Source organism: Homo sapiens, chromosome 13 (genome assembly GCF_000001405.40).
Source record: "Homo sapiens chromosome 13, GRCh38.p14 Primary Assembly".
NCBI classification, from domain to species: domain Eukaryota; kingdom Metazoa; phylum Chordata; class Mammalia; order Primates; family Hominidae; genus Homo; species Homo sapiens.
The window spans coordinates 59,665,330-59,688,963 of record NC_000013.11 but is presented as its reverse complement, the minus strand read 5'-3'; the positions used below and the strand labels follow the sequence as shown (position 1 = coordinate 59,688,963).

The following is a 23,634-nucleotide window of genomic DNA, read 5'->3' as shown; positions in this document are numbered from 1 at the left end:
CATCTTCTATGTGAAATTTCCAACATAATTTGATACTAAAATGTTAGTATTAGTTAACCCATGTTATGTGAGTTTTTTTCATTGTCTTCATATATTCATCTGCATGAGTGTGGCCTGTCTTGAATCCTAACCATCCACTAAATGGGTACTTGGTAGCATTTTTAATAGATTTTTCCTTTACGTAAAGTTCCCTGCAAGTTGTTTCTGATGTATCTAATCCTATTGTTACTCAAAACTGAAATGAGACCCTGCCCTTATGAAGCATGATTTCACTTAAACTATCTCTAGGTGGACCTCACTCCACCAAAATTCTATTGTATTTATTATGTGCACAATTCATTTGACACTTGAGTGACACTAAAAATGAGTCAACATAAGCTCCTCTTTTGTCCCTGGTCCCTTTCAGACCAATGACAGTACCTTAAACTTCTTGGTGGTTCCTAGCTCTGTGTCTTATGCATATAGGTGCTCAATAAACATTTATGGATTCATTATTCATTTATGTTTGGACTTACTTGTGAGGTTGAAATGTTCAATTGATCCACTTTTTGACCTTTTCAGTTATTATTTTTTTGTCAGTGGTTTTGATTATTCAGGTGCACTTTTACCATCAATAGGTCATATCTATAAATAGAAGTCTAGAGACATTTTTAATATGTTTGGGGAAAGAATAAAGAAATTCAGATTTTAAAATTGCAGGTGAATATTGTGCTAGTGATTAGCTTGGCCAACATACTTTGAAACAATTTATCAAGCTGAGAAAAAGACAACAATAGAGCCATCCCTTATGACCACAATTTCTATGGCTTCCTTCAAAAATAGCCATTTTAAAGTTTTTGTTTCCTTCTTCTTTTAATCTCTCATGTTATGAATAATATTTAGCTGAACTCCCAAAGCAACTGGGGGAAGAAAATCTTTGGTATTGATTTTGGATAAAATATGAGACATTTACTTTTGTGAATGCTAATCTCTGAAGGCTTCAATACAATCTTTTGTTCTCTGGGTTCTTGTGTCATTCAAAGATTTAAATTTAGACACCAATATGTTTTTGACCACAAGAAAGCCCTCTGAAACACCTAAGTATTAAAGTTTTAGTTGTTAATATCTATAGGATTTCATTATTTTAATTACCATCTCAGCAATTCCCAGTGGGTAATAATGGCATGTGGTTGTCCTGCCTGTACTTCTATGGGCAGTTCATCGAATAATCATCCTTATGTTACACTACATTGTGGTTCATTGTCTCTCTGAACTTTTTATTTTATCCATATTTGCTTAGCAACCAAGTTATAATTGTTTAAAATTTATCCTAACATTCTCTGAGTTTTTTCAATATATCATTTCAAGACACTAAGAGGAGATGTCAGATTTTGTCCTGACGTCTTATCAAAAGGGTTAAAACTCTACTTCCTGTATTCTTAGCCTCATAAAATCCTTTCTTCCTATAAATTCCAAAATATGACTGATCACAAAGCATATTAATAGATCTAAAAATGGGTGTGTTTTCTTTAAAACTGTATTTGTTGGAGACAAATACTTATACTCCATCAAAAGTTTTATCAGCTATAATTCCCTCTTATAATTGTTTTTAAAAGTCCAAACTAAGTTATTTTGCTCTGGTTGAGGCATGTTGGCTGATTTTTAGACTTGGATGAATTTCATTGTAAATTGCTGTTGGATGTGACTGGAGTACCCAGGAACTGTCAGGATGGCTCAGTGATTTAACGCTGGTGTCCTGCAGCTTTGACTGTAATCAGCAGATGCTGTGGTATTACCATAAATGTTTTCCTAACTGCTTCTGTCAAAAAGAGAAAATTCTTCCTGCACTGAGTCTGCTGCTTCTGATTAAATTCATTTTGCCTTCTTTTGCATAATTAATGTCCCATGATGATCTCTAACCTTTTGTTTTTAATATTGCCTCTTGGTCTAGACTCAGTCTTTACAGGGAAGCTCAACTAAGAGCAGACAAAGAGAAATGGTTGGTGCTTTTACATGAACCCCTAGCACCTCCATGGCTCTGAAGTCGTTACTGTTTTATATACCATGACTTGTCAAAGACCATGAAAGCTTCTGGTGTTTGCAATGTTTTTCATTGTTGTCCTAGTGCTCTATTCTACTTCAGAAGGCTATTTCTGTAATGCTTTGGTGCACATGGTTTTGCCTGAGGATGTGTGATGATAGGGTCTGCTTTAGAATGTTCTTACCCTGGTTGTGTAAATTGATAAACCTCTGACACAAGCCAGGCAAAAGGCTTCCTATTCTCCCGCAAAACTTTCTATACCCCTAGCCCGAAATAACTCAGAGATTATATTTGCTACAACAAAGTAAATGTGTATAAAACATAAGTATGTTAAAAATGAATACCATGTTTTGTCCGTGAACACATTTTATACATTATCTCAATGGGAAAAGATCCTTGAGTTTATTAAATAGCAGTACTTTTTTTTTTTTCCTGAAGAGCCCAAAGTGCTTTCTTATTTGTTCTTTTCGAACCTCTGAGTACTCTTGCATGACAGTCACCTGTGAGCCGAATTTTTTTTCCTCTTTTGAGTAGAACATTGATGTGAATAGATATCCTTTGTGATTTTATTCTTACAGTGTAAGATAAAAGGTGTAAGTGACATCTCTAAGGTACTAAATAAGGCCTGTAGTAACTGGCAAATTTACAGCTTAGAACTAGCCTGTAATCATATTATCTGAAGTTAGAATTCTTCCGGTTCCCTTTGTTTCAGAAAAAAAGATGAATGACTGAGTGCCACATTTTCTGGGGTTTATCTACTTCTTTCTCCTATAGCAGATTCCACTAACAAATATTTATAACATTATTTTCAATGTAATTTTATTTGCTTATAGAATCAAATAGCTTTTGAATCAAAAAGGATCTTATAGATCACAAAGTATTTTGTGACTGATGAAGCTGAGTCTAAATACACAGAGTCACATGCAGTGGCACATTTAGTTTGGGGATTGCCAACTTTTAACTACTGCAATGTTAACTTGGACTATAGATTTTAGTTTATCTCAGATTAAAACCAAATAAAAGAGAAACACAGGAATTTCAAAATAATTGTAGCAGTCCTCACATATCTTCCACATGAAAACAAGATTTATGATCAATAGAACTTTATTTTTTCTTACTCCAACTGTTACTACAAAATCTTTAAGCCTGTAGCTGCTTAGATCTCCTGCAGCTCCAGTATATTATTTTCTTCTACACAACCAACAGTGATACCACTTTTCCATCTCTATTTATCATCTCTTTGTATTACAAGAGAGTCCCCCCTTTCAACAGAACAAGGAATCCATGATCTAGGCGATGACAGAGTACCCCTTGAAACTGAGACTTACAGGTTTTCATTCTGGTTCTGTCTTTTCCTTGCTCTGTCATTAAAGTAATCCACTTAACTTCTGGGCTCAGTGTTTTTGTTGGGAAATGGAGATAAACAATAACCACCTCAAAGGAGGATTCAGTGGATGCTCTGTGCGCTAATGTGTCCACATACCTGCTTCTTTGAGACCTATATTTGATAGCCAGCAAGAACTTGGAAAAGGCAAGGATATAAGAACAAGAGGTCTTCAGTGAAATTAAACAAGAGATGTCAATTGTTCTTCTTTGTCTGTTTCTGATTCTCATTTATTCATGAGCATAATGTATTCATTACTACTCAAAACAAATGTCACAGATATTTCGATATATTTGAAGGTATATTTCAAGATATTTGAAGGTAAGAGTAGAAGGAAGTCAGTTTAAAAAGCACCAATATTTAAGAAAATGTGAAATATTTCTCTGACTCTAAGAAAATCTCCTTCCCACCCTTCACCCCTACACTCCCCAATAATCTTTCCATAAATTATTTCTTACCTTGATAACTCTAGGTGCCCTGAAATCCTCAAACTTCATATTAAGTGTATTGCTGTTACCATGCTGTAAGAGAAAGCTGTCAGGTTATTTTAATGACAAAGAGCTGTAATTCATATGTATTACAGCTGCCATTCTCATAGGACATATTATTCTGAATTTGGATATCCACCCACCTTATCCCCAGCAAATTAGCACATAAATACACATCATAGGATTTATCATTGTAACCAGGAATTTAACGATACTATGTGTAAGCATAAACCAGTTTGCTGATGAGATAGATTACATTGAAAGTCTTAGAAATGAAAGTTCTTTCTTTATTTGTACAACCTTGAAAGACATATGTTGATCAATTATTCCCAAAGCTTCTATGACTCTGTTTTAACCCGGAGTTATCTATCTTTAGTTAGTGTCTGTTACTGATCTATCTGCTGTAACCATCAGAAAAGAGGCCCAAACCCAGCCACTTTCAAGATTTGTGATGAGTATGATTTGTACTTTTCAAAGAGCTTTTGCATATGTTGTTTTTGTCATAAAAATCCTTTGTAGGCTTAGCTTGTTTAATCATCCCCAGTAAACAAAGAAAGGTGCTGAAGTCTAAACAGATGAAGAGCATTGTTCCAAGATATAAAAAGTAAATGATAAAGCCAAGAAGAAACCTTTGCAATTTTTCCTTTTATATATAAACTAACCCCATAATACAACACCCTCTGATCTAAGCTGTCACAAATGTACCGTTTGCAACTAACCAGATGAGCCGGGGAACATTGTTTTGGTTCTCTGTAAATCCATAGAACAAACAAATCAATAAGCGTACAGCTTGATAAACATAAAGGTTGCTCCGTGGCAGAAAGCTCAGGCAGAAAGCTCCAAATCTGTGGAGACAACAGATGCTTCCCAACCTTGCATCCCATAAAAGGGTTTTTAATTTGCCTGAGATATTCAGAGTTCTCTTAAGAAGGCCCAGAAGAAAGCCACAGCAGCAAACCAAGAACGTTGTCAGAGTCTCACAGATAACAGCTGGCTCCTTGGCCTTGTTTTTTTTTTTTTCCTCCCCCTGCAGAATGGGAATATTAACAACAACTTCACTGAGTATGTCAGAATTAACAGGAGAAATGTTATTCAAGTTCCTCCTCGTGGCTGGCAGACACACAGGCACATTATATAAGTGGTAGCATTACCATCATCACCATTGGATTAAGACCTACTTTCAGACTGACTGTGAAGAGAATGGAAAACTGGAACACTAATCTCTTAGGAGAGGCCCAGGTGGAATGATGAATTCATTTTATTCTTCCTCTTTAGTATAGCATTGACAACAAGGAAAGTAAAAAGAGGTTAACCTCAGTGAAAGAACGTTAGAGGAAGCCACCATTTGTAATGACATCTGGGACAAACGTGTCTCAAACTCAGGACTTCTGGTTATAAATCCATTTCCTTTTTCGTATGCTGCTCTTCAAATTCTGCCCAATGCACCCTTTATAAACTCTTCCAGATTTTATCACTTCATGCCTGCATTTCTACATAGCTTCCTTTTTATTTCCTGCCTCTTGTCTTTCAATGAGTCCCCTAAATATCCTAGTTCATTAGTCTGGATTAGAAGATTTCCTCTAATTAGTGTCTATTACCTTCACATTGCTTATGTTCCCTTCATTCATCATCTGCTGCTACAGATGACACCCCACCCCCAGCTCTATGTATTTTCTTTTAGAATCTAACACAACCACAGGACTTAAATGTTTGTATTTAGTATTTAAGACAAAATGGACCCTAATTTTGCTAAAAGTCATAAAAGATTCCAGATTCAATACGGCTTTGAAAAAAAATGAGAGGTTTGACTGACTACTCAACACAATCCAAGCTGTTCTTACTGTTTCTACTTGTTACATAGGGAAGGTAATAAGCAAATCTCTCTGTCGATATAGATATATGAATGTGGTTAGATTGTAGGCTTCCTGAAGGCAGGGACTGTGTCTGTTTATTCTCTGCCATATCCCTGAAACATAAAGCAGCATGGCCCACTGTTCATACTTTTGACTAAATGAATGAAAGCATATTCTTTATCTTGTGCCTTGCAGTACACCAAAGAATTATGAAACATTGTCCTCTTGAATGTAGAATCTTATGATGAAATATGACACATCTGCATTAAAGTACCGCTTTTAACACAAAGAATGGGAAGTACATAGACTCTACTTTGAATAGTTTATGGTCATCACTAGACTTGAGTATGAGGCAGGGGCACAAAAAACTACAACACCAGGCTAACTAGGATACAAAACATATGAGAGAAATACAATACAAGTTGGCATCGCTATGTTTTGGAAAATCAGGAGGTCATATTTGATTGAGATTTGAGGGATGAAAGATTATTATAGACAATGATTCAGACTAGGGAATAGGGTATTCCTTGTTATACAGACAGTTTTATGCAGTATTATATATAGAGTTTAATGCAGTATTTTATATAGAGTTTTCTGCATAAGTACAGCTAAAAAATTTAAAGGCATTTTAAGAAACTGCACTATTTCCTAATAGAAGAATAGTGTCCTAAAGCATAGCTTGCTAGTGAGAGAAAACTATATGCTAAAACTTTAACCTTTAAAATAGATTGAAGCCAGGCATGGAGGCTCACACCTGTAATCCCAGCTACTCAGGAGGGTGAAGGGGGAGGATCACTTGAGCCCAGGATTTTGAGGCTACAGTGAGCTATAATGGTGCCACTGCACCCCAGCCTGGGCGACAGACAAGACCCTGTCAATAAATGATTATTAAATAAATAATAGAGCAAGATTTTTGTGGTTAGCTCATTTTTGTTAAAAAAGAAAACAACTGAAAAATAATTTTATGACTCTGGACCCTTCGTACAAATTGGGTAGTATTTGTTAAAATGTGAGGATTTATGTATAATAACATCAAAATAACTAGCTTCTAATATTTTCCAATGTACTAGTGAACCTGGGCCATAAATTTTGCTGCTCTTGTCAGTAGATATACAGCAAAGATAAGTATGGACAGTACTCTGTACCATATAAGCAGAAAACCTGGAAATTAACATTCCTGGTTCTCTTTAACTAGAGAGCTAACTATATTTTTAGGATATTTGTCAGAAGCAATATCAGTAAAAATGAAGTGTCTCATAGTTTCTTTTTGGTTCATTGTACTGATATAGAAATACTTCCTGCTTCTTTTACAGCATTTACAGTTTAAAAATGTTATTAAAGTGCTATAGTTTGGAGCCAGGAGCTGAATTGGATTACTTGAGCTTGCATCAGAGCTCCACCCTAACTTGCCTCTTAATTAGAACAGGTTTCTTAATCCCACAAAGCCTCCTTCCTCATTGTGAATTAGAGAGTATAAAAATCATACTTTCTTAGGCTACATGATGATTTTTGTAAAGCACTTTGTGCAAACCTGGCACTTAGTAAGTGCTCTAACATACTAGTATTGTTTTTATAATGAGTCTTGTAAAATATAGCCTGAAATGGAAAAAAAAAACACTTAAAACAGTTATTTTATTAATAAGTTGGTGAGAAAGTGAACATAATTTTGTTATAACTAAATTTGAGTTCCTTATTTGTGGATTGTGTTATAGTTGAAAATTTTTTTTAATCTTTTTGTTTTTGAGAGAGGCTCTCACTCTGTTGCCCAGACTGGAGTGCAGTGGTGCAGTCATGGCTCACTGCAGCCTCAACCTCCCAGGCTTGAGTGATCCTCCCACCTCAGCCTTCCAAGTAGCTAGGACTACAGGTGTGTGCCACCATGCCCTGGCTAATTATTTCTCTTAATTTTTTGTAGAGACGGAGTCTTACTATATTGCCCAGGCTGATCTTAAAGTCCTGGTCTCAAGCAATCCTACCATCTCTGCCTCCCAAAAAAATGTTGGGATTACAGGCATGAGCCACTGAGCCCGGCATTTTGTTGTTTTTTTAACAAAGTATGTGTGATATGCCACATAATAAACCTCATTGGAAAGACAAGGAGTAACACCTCCCATTATAATAATCTTTAATAAGTAAAGCTATAACTAGGTACAATAAGATTTGTATATACCAGGAGAAAAAAGGCAAGAGATTAGATTAGATAAATAAAATGATTCAGATCGGAAGGTTCGTAAGAGTTGCATTACCAAATGTGTTTGGTAAAACTACAGAACACATTGCTTCCGTGTTCTACTCCAGACAGCGGTCTTTTCGTATCATGAGATTCCATCAATTGCAAAGGTTTCTAGATTCCATTATTGCAATGTTTTCCTTCCCCTTCCAAATAAAATGAAAGCCAATAGAGAAAAGTAGTACCATTGCAAAATCTAAGACCTTTAGAAATAGAATAATTAATTAATAAACATATTATTATTTTACCATAATAGTTGTAAATGAGTGTACTCTGTTCTATATTTTTTAAGTCACCAAAAGTTATTCAGGGAACTATAATGCCCCATCAAATTTAATGATTGGTGACAGGTGTAGCCGTCTGACCTCTAGTGGCTATAGCTTATAGCTGCATTTTCATTGATTGAGTTAAAAAAAAAAAAAAGACTAAGGAAAGAAGTCTTCTTAGATCCTAATAACAGGGTTCTGCAAGTAAGTGTATGATTAGCATCCCTGAAGTTCTGCTGGTCTAATTGTTGGGGTACTAACTACCTCAAGGAACAGAGGTCAGAACCAACTTCGTTAATCTATGAGTTTAAATGCTTGCAATGTGTCAGCAGATTCTGCCCTGAGGCCCAGCAGCCAAGCAATCTCTACAGCATTTTTTTAATAGGCATTCTAAAGTTCATAACAAGCTCTCAACACTGATATTCAACAACACGTCATAGGCTTGCATGAAATATTTTTAAAATCCTGATAGGATACATATGTATGACAATGTATGTTTTTATTAGATATCTATATGAATAATATATCTTTCCTAATGTGTAGGTGTGTGTGTTTCTTAAATATTTTGGGGTTTAAATTGACAGCATTACTCTTCCTCATATACTCCACCATGTTTTTGAGACAACACTTCTGAGTTCAGGGTGCTGCTTGTGACCAAGAAACCAAATGGAACTGACCAACAGTTTGAGGACATAAACCTTCTGATTATTTTGAACCACTGAACTAACAGATGCTACATTTACTATGATGCCCCAGATTGAAATAAAGTAGGAAAATTTGTATTTAGAGTTGAAAAATAAAAAAGAGAACATTCTGCCATTTGATAGTAACATATTTTTCTTTGTCTTTAACATAAACCATACCGTAATACTTGATGTAATTTATTCTTTTTGTGCATTGTGTCTCCACCGAGAATTCTTATTTCTCTCAGTAACTTAATGAATTGCCAAGTATTTATGGCCAATATGGGTCTCCAATATTTTTTTAATTTCAAATACCACATGGATTATAAAGTTCCACATACTTTAAGGCTTCTGTGCTAACACTTATAGCTCTTTTAAGAGGATGTATGTGAAATGGAACAACTAACAGTTACTGTATCTTGTCCTCCTTGTCCATTTTCCTGCTGTCAGAACCTTCTTTAGCTTACCAGGAGTACTATACTCTAATTTCTTTCTTTTCTGCCCTCTGTATGGTACATTTCTAGTCTTTGTGTTTTGTGTTACCATAGAGACAGGAGGTGCTCCAAAGCCCAAAGCCCCGAGAAGACAGACTGGAAGCAGGTCTTTGAGGAAACAGTCCCTGCTGACAAGAGAAGCCTGAGGCAAGAATCTACAGCAGTAAAGGGAAAGAGGGGGATTGTGTGGCCCAATCTGATGGTGTGTCCACAGTCTCAGGAAGCACAAGCTCTGCCAATGCTGTGTTAAAAATGAGTTGTTTACAGAAACCAATTTTACAGAGACCTCAGTGCAGCCTGGGGTTTCATAGGAATCAAACTTTGGTGTTTTATTTGCAAAAAAATAACTGAAGTGACATTGACCTATTCCTTTTACTATTTTCCTCATTAAAAGGGAGCAGCTTCTGAGAAAGGTCCTCTTTGCTTGACTTATTTTGCTGATCAAAAATCTCATCTTTAAAATAAAGGTTCATATTCTTTGACTCGGCAAAAACCATCAGAATTGAAACTGCAGTTTGATTGCAGAGGACTCTACAACCAGCACCCAAATCATTGATCCAAATATGCTAGTTATAGAAATAAGTAGTTTCTATTTATCCTGAGTTGTCATGTAGTCATGTACTCCCTTCATATTTTAGATAACTTACAGCTTTTAAACATTTATCTGTATTTAATGAATTGTTATGTTTCCTGCTATATTAACTCATGTCATACTTGTTAATATTTTTATTTAGGAGAAGGCTGCTAAAAGATTTAAAAATAATATAGAGTTTTGTTTCTCTTTCTTTTTCTTAGAGATGTGATGTGAGGTCCTGTAGGGAAAGTGGGAAGAAGAGAAAAATGAAAAATTTAACAACAAAATAATGTGAAATAGAATTTAAACGAACAGATGTTTTCTGAATTACCTTTAAAACCAATTTCTTTTTCGGAATGGAAAAAGATCCATGCTCACGGTGTTTGCTGGATTTTTTTTCACAGATCTAGCAGTCTAAGCAAGGGAAGAATTCAGGGAAATTCAGAGAACATCAATATTTCTTCCTAGGTTATCTGCACAAAATTGTCCTTTGAAGGAAGAAAGCCACTTGTCTGTAAACCTGTAAATAGAAATAAGGATGAGTAGGGCTCTCTCACTTTCCTCAAACTGACAGTAGGAGGCAGTAGTGTACTAGCCTGAGTACTCTCTTTAAGGTAATGCCTATGACTTATGCCAGATTTCTTTTTTTCACTCATTTTCTAGAAATACATGAAACTAAAATTTTAGAAATAGTTTAAGATTTCATAATGAAGCTTGGTACCATCAATCTAGTACAAGATAATGCTGCTGTGCTATGAATAGAACAATAAAAAAAGGCCAGTCCGTCAGCTTCTAATAATGGCAACACTGTGAACCTAACCCCCACATAGGTCCTGATCCAATACGAATAGGAGAATAGCATAAAGGTCACTCTCATTTTGAAAGGAAGGAGAATTAGATTTAATAAGTTAGATCCTCCTAATTTTCATGGATTTACTAAAACATGTACAGAACTAGTAAGCAAAAGTAGAAGAGTCTCTGAACGGTAACCCAGTCTCCCCATGCCTAGATGGCTGGATAAACAGATGCCAAAACATAGACAGTAGCAACAGTAGGCTTGCATTATTAGCATTCAGATTTTGTGAGTATATTTTTAATCTTTAGCCTTTGTCTATTTTGCCATTCACAGAAGCTACCTAAATCCAACTTACCTAGAAATATATAACTGCTCCTTCCTCTTTATATGAAACAAAATCACAATAAAATGCTAAATATTGGAACAATTCATTTTCACTTGTTTATAATATATACATATTCAACTCTAAATACATAATGTATAGGTAATAGCACTGTGAAAAACTCCAGGTTCTAGATCTGTGCTGTCCAGTACAGTAGACAATAGCCAGGTGTGGCTCTTAAGCTCCTGAAATGTGGCTGGTCTGAATAGAGATCTGCTGTAAGTATGAAATACACATTTGATTTTGAAGGCTTAGTACAAAAAAATGCCAAAGATATCATTAATATATTTTTGCTATATATATGTCAAAGTGATAATATTTGACATTGGATTAAATAAAATATATTATTAAAACTAATTTCACCTTTTTTTTTCAATGTTTAATGTGGCTTCTAGAAATTTTTACCTTGCATGTATAGCCCATTTTTGTGATTCTCATTAAATTTCTATTGGACAGTACCGTTCTAGTCTCAATGTTGAGTCCTCAAGGGACCCAAAAGCACAAAAAAATGTACAATAAAGCAAAATGTTATGTCATCAGCTGTATCTGGGTAATATTACTCCAAAGTGTTCCCTTTTTTTTTAAGGTTTAGTTTAAAACATTAAGTGAAGCAAGGTAATAAAATCATGCCATGCTTGGGTTTAGTCACTCAGGAAATAAATTATCAAGAACTTGTTATGAGGTGGGCACTGTGCTAGGGCTTGGGAATACACCAGTGAATAAAACAAGATACCTGCCTTCATAGAGCTTATGTTCTATCAAGTTAGGTCACAATTAGATGGATATGAATTAGATTTCTTACTACTTGAACATATTGCTATGTTTAGATATGGCTAATGTAGTATATATGTAGTAATAGGCCAGGGAGAAGTAAAGGAACATTTCTATGTATATAGTCATACATAAAATTATTTTGTTATAAAACAGTTATAAACACAAATGTATCCCAGGACTGAATTCTCTAATGAATAAAAACATTATTTTAAGCAGATTCTTATTAAATGCATATCAAAAATCAACCTGAAGTATTAAGTCTACATGGAAATTTTTTAGGAGTCTATGAACATATAATTGTATTGTTTTACAGTACTGCACACCCTAGTTAGCTTTAGCTTTTCCCCAGAATTTTGAACTACTAAGTGAATATTGTTTTGCATGTTCATTATAGAAATGACAGGATCTTAAATGTTTCAAAAACTTAGCACCTGGCATGGTGGGCTAAACCCTCACTGAATTAACTAATGAACTGACTTAACCATAATTTCAACTCATGATCACTGAAGGAACAGTTGAAGAAACTATAGCTGTTTGGCTTGGAGAAGAAAAGATTGAGAGAATATAATATCTGTCTTCAAATATTTGAAGGGCTGGTGGGTGGAAGAGGAATTGGATTTAATACAGCCCTAATGGAAAAAATCAACAGAGCCAGTGACTAAGATTTCAGGGAAACAAACACTGGATAAATCTAAGGTAAAACATGTAATTATTAGAGCTGACCAAAGGTAGAATATATTGCCTGATGAGATTGTGAGGAAATGACTCGAGGTCTTCAAACTGAGTCTGGATAGCTACTTGATAGGATGCTAACTAAATGTAATTCGAGCATTGGCTAGGTGGTTCCACCAAGTAACAAGGGGTCTTTCCATTTGATTCTACATTACATGATTCTGTGAATCAAAATGAAATGAAACAGAAATAGCATAAGTTATTCAGAAGAAATACCTGTGCATTCGAAATGTCTAATAAATGTTGAAGAAGTATAAGAAATAAGGAAATATACTTAAAAGCACACTATGTGATGAGACTTAGAAATGGCTTCAGAAATATGTTCTAGTCCTAAAGTATTTAAAAATAGTTAGCTAGTTAGTTTCTAATACAGCTCGCAAGTTATTAGCACTCGGAATCTACCTCTCCCCAGCCTCTTCATCCTTGGGAAGTGCTTTTTCCATTTCACAACATGTCTATTTGCCATGGCCTAATCATGTTCCCCCAGAACCATGAGGGCCAACGATTTGGACTGAATTTGCCAGAGGCAAATAGCAAAGCCTGTGTGGCCTTGGCAGTTCATGGACTTCTCTAAACCTCAACTTCCTTATCTACAAAATGGGCTTGTTGATACCTGCACTTTGGGATTGTTGTAAAAATTTTAAAATAGACCAAGGCGGGTGGATCACAAGCTCAGGAGATCGAGACCATCCTGGCTAACACGGTGAAACCACATCTCTACTAAAAATACAAAAAATTAGCCGGGCGTGGTGGCGGGCGCCTATAGTCCCAGCTACTCAGGAGGCTGAGGCAGGAGAATGGCATGAACCCGGGAGGCGAAGCTTGCAGTGAGCCGAGATCGTGCCACTGCACTCCAGCCTGGGCGACAGAGCGAGACTCCGTCTCAAAAAAAAAAAAAAAAATTAAAAATAGCATGTAAAGGCTAGGCACAGTGGCTCACACCTGTAACTCCAGCACTTTGGGAAACTGAGGCAGGAAAATCACTTGGGACTAGGAGTTCTAGGTGAGCCTGAGCAACATAGCAAGACCCCGTCTCGATTTTTAAAATGTTTAAGTTAGCCAGGCATGGTGATACGTGCCTGTAGACCTAGCTACTCCGAAGGCCAAGACAAGAGGATACCTTGAGCCCAGGAGTTCAAGGCTACAATGAGCCATCATGGCACCATCGCATTCCAGCCTGAGCAAGCGACAGAGCAAGACCCTGTCTCTAAAAACAAAATGAAAAAAGATAGCATGTAAAAGTTTTATCAGGTATGTAGTATGTGTTTAATAAGTATACTGTCAAACCATATCCCTGTATTATTTCTCTACCCTTTCCCTTATGAACCACCAGATCAACTGATCAAATTACTTCTGACCTGGTATCTATTAGCTGACAAGCCATTACACACTTTAGAAATATTTATTTAATATCTGCCAAGCCACCTCCAGGTGACCACAAGTGCTTAGTAGTCTGAGACAGCTGTCAATAACAGATAGCATGACTGATAAACAGATGCCATGGTTGGTTTCAGTCTGTTAGTATGAAGAGCATGAAAGTGTGGTTTGAGAATGTGTTATTTGAAGTAGTAGTAGGGCATATGTAGGAATGTTTAGGGAGGCCATGGTGGATACGGTATTGGAGCTCTGTTGTCAGGGCTGGAAATGCAGATTTGAGTCTTCTTCCTAGAGGAAATAGTTGAAGCTGTGAGATCGTGATGGAGAGAAGGTAGAAAGGGCAGAAAAGAGGGCCAAAGATGTAACTGTGAGAAATGGCCACGTTGAGGTTATGATTGTTTGGTAGAGGTTGGGAAGGTAGCACAAATTACCAAAGAAGGTTTAAAATGAATCATCGAAAAGTAGAAGAGTAAGCACAGTCAAGGGCAATATCATGATAGAGCATGTTAACCAGGAGTCTGAGGACTTAGTTCTGTCTCTGGCTCTGCCTGAAAGTTATGTCTGCTTTCTCAATTTTATGTCAAACAAGGTAAATATACTAAATATACCCATATTACCTATCTCACAGGGCTGTTATAAGAATCACATGAGTGGATATATGGGGAAAGTGTTTGCAAGCTATAGAATAGCCATATATAAAGGTAATATGATCATATCGATATTATGCCATAATAATGTTCAAAGTCACAAATAACATTCTACATTGACTTCTAACACCAGCTAGTTGAAGTTAAGCCAGATTTCACAGGTCACAGTCCTCTAAAAGATTGCCTTCACTTCAGTACCAGCTGCAAATTTGAGGTCCCTAGGTTACCCTCACTTTTGATCACTTGGCTACAAATTCAGTGCTTCCTACTACCCTCTCAAATTCAATAATTTGCTAGAATGACAGAATTCAGGAAAGTACTATACTTCCTGTTACAGCTTTATTATAGCAAAAGAATACAAATCAGAAACAGCCAAAGGAGAGACACCTGAAGCCCCTATTGTCCTTAGGGACGCATCAGCCTCCCTGCACATTGATGTGTAAGGATGCACAGAGGATTACCAACCAGAAAACTCACCTGAACATCAGTGTCTTGAGTTTGCACTGCGGCTTTGTTACTTAGGCACAATTAGTTGAATCATCAGCCACATGATTGAGCTCAAGCTCCCGTACCCATCTCTCACTCAGAAATCAGGCTGATAATCATTTGGCTCAAAACCCCAACCCTCTAATCACATGATTGGTCTTTCTGGCTTGGTTAACCCCCATCCTGAGTCATTCATTACTATAAACTATCTAGGGGCCCACCATGAGTTACCTCATTAGCAAAAACTATCAGTTTAGGGTTTCAAACTATTCATCTGAGGGGCCCAACATGAATACAAAATTCCAAGGCTTTAGAGGCCACCTCCCAGGGACTGGGACAAAGACCAGATGAATTCTTTATTACACACATTCCAAAATGTTGCAAATGTGAGAGAAAAAAGAGGCATGAGTAAATGCAATTGAGTTTAGGAATTTCGATGCTTTGGGTAATATTGTAAGGAGCAATTTCAATAGAGAGGTATGGATGAAAGCCAAATTAGAATTGCTAAGAATTGAGGGGAGAGATGAAAAAGAGGAAAGCAGATATGGAAAAGAGTATCCAACTCAGGTAGCATATTACAAATCAGGAAGATAAGCAGTCAAACAGAAGAGTTTACGTTACTGTTCTCTTTAGAGGCTGAACCTATCCTGGTTGTTGTGTGCACAGAGCCTGCGTCATCTTGAGCTTCCTTGTAGCCCTACACTCAATTAGAAAAACTCAGCATAGGAAACTGTGAAATGGCAGTACTGTCTTTGAATTTTATTTAAAGGATAGTGATACAGAACAAGAATGAATAGAAGTTTATATAATAGTTTCTGCAAATAAAGTTCTTCATCAGTTGTTTCCTCTATTCAAAGATATCATTATATTCTGCTTTGCATACTGTGTTTAGATAGGGGGAGTATTGTTTTGTTTAGTTGTTTGTTTTTACATAATTTGTTTTAATAAGAGTTTCTGGCACCCCTAAAAGATTTTAACTATATGCAAAATGACCTTTTGCTCTTTGAATTATTTTTATATATTTTCAATACATAAGATAAACAGCGAAATGAAACCAAAGGAAGACAATTATTAATAGCATCAGTAAATCAGCAATAAGGAAAACCACAGGGATATGGGCTGCTGGCGGCCACCACTAACTTCCGTTATTGCATAGATTAAAAACATATATTTGTCACACACTTTACTATCATGTAGACCCAGTGGTGCTTTAAAATTATATTTATGAGTGATTCTTTTTCTTTCACCAAAGTAAAGCCATTGCTGGGGTGAAACAAAACAGCTACTTAGTAGGTCAAAGTAATAGTTAAAAACAAAAGGTAAAGAATTGCGAGGAGAGACCAAATTTCAGGAACACTGAATAGATGGAGTCAATTTAGGACACCAGAGTTCTACATTCTTCCTCCTGTCAAGGCTGCCACAACTCACCATTGACCACAAAAGACAGGAGCTCAATTTTATACTTCATCTGAGAGTTGGCACTCCTAAGAAGCCAGTGCCCATTAGAACCACAATGTGAGGGGGGATCAATACTAACTTCAAAGGAATAATGCCTCTTTCTGAACCATAACTGATACTTCCTGCAGCAGAGAAGTCTTCCCCAAGGGCCGTCCGCCAGGGCCTTAGTTAGCCTTGCCTTCTTAGCTCAAGAAGCATAACAACTGTTGGCTGAAATATTTCCTCATTTAGATGCCAAGTTGCATATATTCACATATATATACATAATTCTTTTGTCAGCAACTTTCCCAGTTTCCTGTGTCTTTTGTGTTTCTCAAGAAACAGTGGAAATATTAGCACAGGATGAATGAGTTTTTTTAAGCTTTCTTTGTCATCCAAATCTATACTCTGCCAAAGATCATGTGGGACCCAACACTAGATGTAGTTTAAGGCCTTTATTCTCATTTTTAAGTCCAGTGGGTATCAGTATTTAAGAGGCATTCAGCTCTCCAACAACGTTCAACTTTTAGTTCAGTTTCAAAGAAAAAGCTGTGGTGGGTCTCTAGATTCAATTCTTATAGTAAGAATCCTATGAAGAATTAAATTGAAATGAGTAAGTATTCCTATCTTAAAGGAAAATAGCATGTATTCTCATCGTGTTTATTTCCACAGAAACACAAATACAAGATGTGTGGATTGCATTTTCTTACTGAATTGGTACTAAGAATAGCAGCTGGTTCTTTGCCTATCAGTACTACAATCAACAGTGGCCCTGAATATTGGCAGTAGTCCTAGATATATTGCACATAGAGATCAATTGTAATATCTTAAACAGAAAAAAAAGGCCTAGGATTCAATTTGTAAAATAATAAAACAAACTCCTCACCTTGAAGAATTAATCATCCCTCTTTGCCTTAATATTTTTAGTTTCCATTTAAAAGTGTGTATGGTGAAGAGTTGAGTTGAGAAATAGAAACGCTTGTCTTTTTATTGATACCCCAGCCTTACCTTTCATTGAGTCCATATGTCCTAGGTATCATCTTGCATTTGTAACTGTCTAACTTCATATGAAAAGAATTGGCCTACCTGCCTCAAATTACAATTTATTTATGCCTCTGAGCACCTGGTAGAGTATAGAGTTTTCTCCAACTTACAAGGTTGTGGGATCACTCTGTTGTTTGAAAGTCAACCATTTAGAAACTAAGTGCATGTTTTTGCATGGAATTTAGGTCTCCAGCCCACACAAAGCCACCAATAACAAACTTTAAAATAATGGTGATAACAAAAGACACCTGGCCTTGACACATTATAATAAGATTTCTATATAAGAGTGAACTTCTGGGGTCAGCAGGCACAGTGGCTCACACCTGTAATCCCAGCACTTTGTGACGCTGAGGCGGGTAGATAGCTTATCCCCAGCCTGGCTTTGTTGCCAGGCTTTAAAAAAGTGAACTTCCGGCCGGGTGCAGTAGCTCACACCTGAAATCCCAGCACTTTTGGGAGGCCAAGGCGGGCGGATCACGAGGTCAGGAGATCGAGACCATCCTGGCTAACACAGTGAAACCCCGTCTTTACTAAAAATGCAAAAAAATTAGCCGGGCGTGGTGGCGGGCGCCTGTAGTCCCAGCTACTCGGGAGGCTGAGGGAAGACAATGGCGTGAACCCGGGAGGTGGAGCTTGCAGTGAGCCGAGATCCCGCCACTGCACTCCAGCCTGGGCGACAGAGCAAGACTGTCTCAAAAAAAAAAAAAAAAAAAGTGAACTTCCAGCTTGAGCACTTCCTCTACCTGCACTATCTCTAATTATAGTGGGATAGGCAACTCCTCCTGTCCAGCTTCATTTATCTGCTTTGCAGTTTAAGATCTGACTTGCTCATTTCTACAGTTTTGGTCTCCCATGTCTGGAGACAAACCAAAAAGAAGGTGAGGACCAGAATGGGGGCTGTTGGGGTGCTGAGAGCTAATGTGAGGGCTGGGAATGAAGAGTTGTTATCTAGGAATTTCTAAGAAAGCTATAAACATCTTTTAAAAAACTCTTGTGCACTTTTCTTTTTTATTTCTTCAGTGGTCTCAGGAATGGCCTCTTTCCTTTTTACACTGTCTTGTCTGTTACTTCTCATGAAAGATTCCTCACCTGAAACCACAGAGGAGATAAATACCATCTTAGTTTTTCTCTTATCATTTTGTCCCTAAAGCAAGCCCACAGCTATTTTGAGTTTTCTCAAAAGGATAGAAATGCTTTTGCCTGCCTTGGCCCATCCATTATTATTTACCTTTGTCTCCAAAGAAGTTCAAAGACCAAACGCTAAAAGAAAAACCCAGGAAATGCTAGGCATTTCATCCTTGGATCTGGTATAGATCAAGGAGTACTAAGACATTCAAAATAGATATGCAATCCTTGTTTTTGGCAGCATGCATGTTCATTAGCGACCTTGACAAGAACTGTTTCAGAAGAGTAAAGGGTCAAAAGCATGATTGGAGTGGGTTCAAGAGAAAAATAGGGAGCGAGGAATTAAGAGAGTAAGTATGGGCAATTCTTTCAAGGTATTTTACTATAAAGGGAGCCAAGAATTTAGATAGCTGGAGCAGGATGTGGAGACAAACAGAGATTCCCCCCACCTCATAAATTTATGATTATTAGAGCCTCTCTGCTGAGGGGAATGAGCACCTGGAGAAAGAAACCTTTACAATGCAGCAGAGAGAGGGCAAAGCAGCCAGAGGGATGTCCTTGAATAGACAAGCAAAAGTCACATCCAAGCAAAAGTCACATCCGTCACTCACCTTGAGGGCTGTCCTCAGAGGGGAGCTCGGAAGGTTGATTCATCCTAACAGGAGGGGCGGATGTATGTGTGTGCAGTAGGCAGATAATAGGTGTTGGGGAAGGGGTGAGGCACGTGCAGGAGCTCTCTTCTGATCACCTCTATGAGTGAGTTAAATGAGAGGGAGGACATATTGGAAGTTTCAAAGAGTGGAGAAGGTGTGGAGCAGTTGTCTGGGAGAATGGAAGAGTGAATGGACTAGGGAATTGTAGTGGGTTAAAGGTCATGCTTTTGAAGTTCATAGTCATGAATCTAAGTGAGACCAGGAAAGAAATGGAGGATATGTGTGACCTTGGATATACTGTGTTAAGGTAGTTTACATAGGTGTACTATCTGCTTTACAAAGCTGTTGCGAGAATTCAGTGTGTTAGAAGGCATTTTGAAGTATAAGTGCAGGACACCATTATTATGAAACTTAGCTTTGAATTACTTAGCACTTTCCTTTGGCAAAAGGGTTTTCAGATTTCTTGAAGACAGCCTCAGTATCTCTAGAGACAGCATTTGGCGTCTACCACCGATTTACTCAGTAACTAAGTCTAAGCAAATGACTTAACCTCCTTTTGCTTTTACCCCTCAATCTATATGCTGAGGGTGGTAATGTTTGAAGTGCAACAAAATACAGGCTATTCATAAGATGGTATGTATGTATGTGTTTTGTGTGTGTGTGTGTGTGTGTGTATACATACATATATATATATGTGTATATATATAGTTTTAATAATTTGCCTACCAAGTTCATTATTTCTCTGAAGGAAAACCACTGACTAAAAATTCTGATTAGAAACTTTCCTTCTTGGTTTCGTTCAAGAAAGAAATTAATGTCATTAGTATTCAAACTAAAGTTTATCTTGTGTCACAGAGTATGGAAATAATTTCTTTACCCAACACATATTTATTGAGCACCTACTTTGCACCAAGGACGGTCTAGGCACTAAAGCTATAGCAATATTTAAAACAATGTCCCTACTTTCTTGGAGTGCATACATGGACACGCGCACACACGCACACACACATTTCATATTCTATACCCATATTTTGGCTAATTTAATCTCTTCTTTGCCATTAGACTTTTAACTAGAGTTGTCCAATAGCAGAATAAACTGGTTTGTTGGAGATACCATCATGATGTAGTGGTTTGCAGGAAATCAAATAAGCAAAGATAGGAACATTTTGGGGAAGGAGCAGTAAGCTGGCCAACATTCTACATTTAGCTGCAAATGCAGTTTTCAAGCATTCTTTGGGACAGAGGTGTGGGAGCTAGAAAAGAAAAGGATGTGGTCATAGGAACTGCAGGAATACCACATCTACCGTGCTCTTTCCGGCAAACACAATATGTACATTATAAGCTACAGAGCATACACTCCTTTAAGAGAAAATCACTGCTCTATTAGATTTTGATTTTTGAGTAACAGTTGCCCACCTGATATAGAAGGTGAAAGACAAAGTGTATTTATTTTCTTCCAGCAGCTAAAAGGTGATCATACTTCTAAAATTTGTTGAGATTGTCCAAGAAAGTGTGTAAAATCCTCATCCATCACTGGAAGCCTCTGGTCAGAAAATGACAGTGCAGTAAATATCTTCAGCAGCCACCTTTTAATGTACAAGCTGTTTTCAGTTGGAATTTTCAGCACTCACATAAAACACACTGTCATGAGTGACTGCTTGTGCTCCAAAGTCATTACTATTGGGACAATGGAACATCTCTCAGAGAATAACCAAAAAACTTTAAATGTCATGTCAGGTTTGTTGAAGCCATTTTCAAGCCCCATTCAAGGTTACATGAATATTGAGGGTGTCTGTTTTTTAAAAGTCATCATTACCATCACTTACCAATAAAAGAATGTATGTGTGTATGTATATATGTACATGCATGTATGTATAGATGTGTATATACTTGACAATTACATATAACATTCTGGTTTGCTAGGAAGTTTTAATTATTTGCTTGCCAAGTTCATTGTTTCTTTAAAGGAAAATAATCGACTTTTTAAATTCTTATTAGAAACTTTCCTTCTTGATTTCATTCAAAAAGGAAATTAATCTCATTATTATTCAAGCTAATGTTTAATCTTGTGTCACAGAGTGTGGAAATTATTTATTTATCCAACAAATATTTATTGAGGACCTACTTTGCACCAGGGCCATTTTAGGCCCTGAAGTTACAGCAGTATTTAAAATAATGTCCCTACTGTCTTGGAGCACACATTCTAGTAAGACAGACAATGGACAAGTGAGCAAATATATTGTGTGTCCAGCCATCATGTGCCCTGTGAAGGAAAACATGACGGGGAAGGATAGAGCAGTGCAAAGGGCAAATGCTATTTTAGATGGGTGGCTAGGGAAGGCCTCTCTTTTTAGGTGGTGTTTGAACAGAGACCTGAAAGAAATATGGGACCAGGCCCTGATAATAACCACGTGACAGGCATGTCAGGCATAAAGGAAGAAGGAAATGGGCATTAGTGCTAATGAAACGGTTGGCTGTTATATTTTAGTTTATTCTTAAACCCCTGTGTGATTATTTTAAACCTGTCTTACTCTGTTGACTGTTTCTTTGTTTAGTCTATCTAAGAAGACTACTTATTTATTGAGAATAATTATTTTAAATGTGTTTCATAACGTGCACAGTCCTTGGTTATCATGGTGATAAGTTTTATGTTTCTTTTTTCCTTACTGTAGAAAATCAGAAAGTGCAGTTGACAGAAGGGTCACGTTCACACTACAATATCAATTGCAACTCAACAAGGACTCCAGTCGCCAAGGAGCTTAATTATAATCTAGACACTCATACGTCTACTGGGAGGATCAAGGCAGCTGAGAAGAAGGAAGCGTGTAATGTAGAAAGCAACAGAAAAAAGGAAACGGAACTTCTTGGCTCTTTTTCTAAAAATGAATCAGTTCCCGAAGTTGAAGCCCTGCTGGCAAGATTACGAGCTTTATAAGTTAAACTGGTTTTTAAAAAAAATGATTAAGCCAAATATAAAGCCATGCTCTAAACTATAACACTTGAAAAAATTGCTTTTATGTAAGTGACTTTATATAGTTTTAAATTATGATATATATTAGAAAAATAAAGCTAAATATATGATTGCAATGCTTTTTCTATGTACTGGAGGTTTTGGTTTATTCAAGATTGTACCGGGCTTTAATCCTTTTTTTTTTTTTTTTGTCTCCTGGTATTCCTCAGTTCTTTATTTGGTGGTTAAATTATACATATTGCTTTAGAGAGCAGGTAGGTGGCCATGTGTTCAGCAGTGTGTCCTTAAGAAAATACCATCTTTCTAAGCCACTGGAATTTTTACTTTACTATTTTTAACATTAATGGATGTCAGGTCATCAACCTCAAGTCTTTACATATCCATGTATATTCCATATATATTGTTTATATAGGCCCAAGTTTCTCCTTAATTGGGATCTATATACTACCAGCACAACATCAAAAACATGTAATTGAATACATCAGAGCTATATATGTAAGGAAATGACTGGTGACCCCATTATCATCATTGTTGAATTCATGTTAAGTAGACCCTCTAGGGGACCATAAGGCAATTGAGCACATAACGAAAAATGATGCAATAAGAATGTATGCACTCTCTTTGCCAAATGCATGTGCTTTTGTGTAACGTGGATGTAAACAGAATTGCAGTGCTGCCGAAATTCTTGATCTTGGCTAAGAGAGTATTTTTCCCCTTGTAATTATGACTCTGAGATAAAATTGCCATTTTGAAATTTCCAAAGTAACAACTTTTTTTATTTTATGAATAAACTTGGGATTGCAATTTCTCTGATCTGACAATCAATAACTTTAACAAAGATCTAAATAAGTGTTTCAAGGAAAGTTTTCCTAAGCAAATGTAATATTACCTCATTTGGGCATCATTACTCTGTTAATTCTATATCAAAGGAAATAAACTTGCTACTTGCACTAAATGAAAAAAAATGCTTTCTTTTGTCTCTCTTTTTTTGAAAACATTCTGTGGATAAGCTGAGAATAGACTGTGCTATGCAGTCTGTCTAAGCATCTATTTTGCTTTATTACATGTAATAAGTAAGTGACTGTTCTTTTACCTTCAGTTAAAAAGCAGTTATATGGAACTAGTCGGGCAAGGTCTATTGCTTTTTATTTCCTTAAGTTGCCACCTCCTTTCAGCTCTAAGTTAATAAAGTTAATTAATTAGAACTATGAGCCAGGC

At 36.7% G+C, this 23,634-nt stretch overlaps 1 protein-coding gene across 7 annotated transcripts in view, besides 1 other annotated feature; it reads left to right on the top strand.

The window, feature by feature from the left end:
• The window catches only part of DIAPH3 (diaphanous related formin 3), a 498,346-nt gene extending 474,965 nt beyond the window's left edge, over positions 1-23,381 (top strand). For 5 of the 7 annotated variants that reach the window (NM_001258368.2, NM_001258367.2, NM_001258366.2 and 2 more), the window contains one exon: positions 22,118-23,381. In NM_001258368.2, the coding sequence (NP_001245297.1) occupies positions 22,118-22,380 (263 nt within the window). In that variant the 3' untranslated portion in view covers positions 22,381-23,381. Of the gene's footprint in view, positions 1-9,472; positions 9,831-22,117 lie in introns of those variants that run through there. The other 2 variants (XR_002957478.1, XM_011535258.3) reach the window with 2 other exon arrangements.
• Positions 15,143-15,644: an enhancer, noted in NCBI's record as "NANOG hESC enhancer chr13:60247454-60247955 (GRCh37/hg19 assembly coordinates)". NCBI's record gives its function as "activates a minimal SCP1, AML or CMV promoter by ChIP-STARR-seq in naive H9 embryonic stem cells {active_cell/tissue: H9 hESC(naive)}" and the evidence as "EXISTENCE:reporter gene assay evidence [ECO:0000049][PMID:30033119]".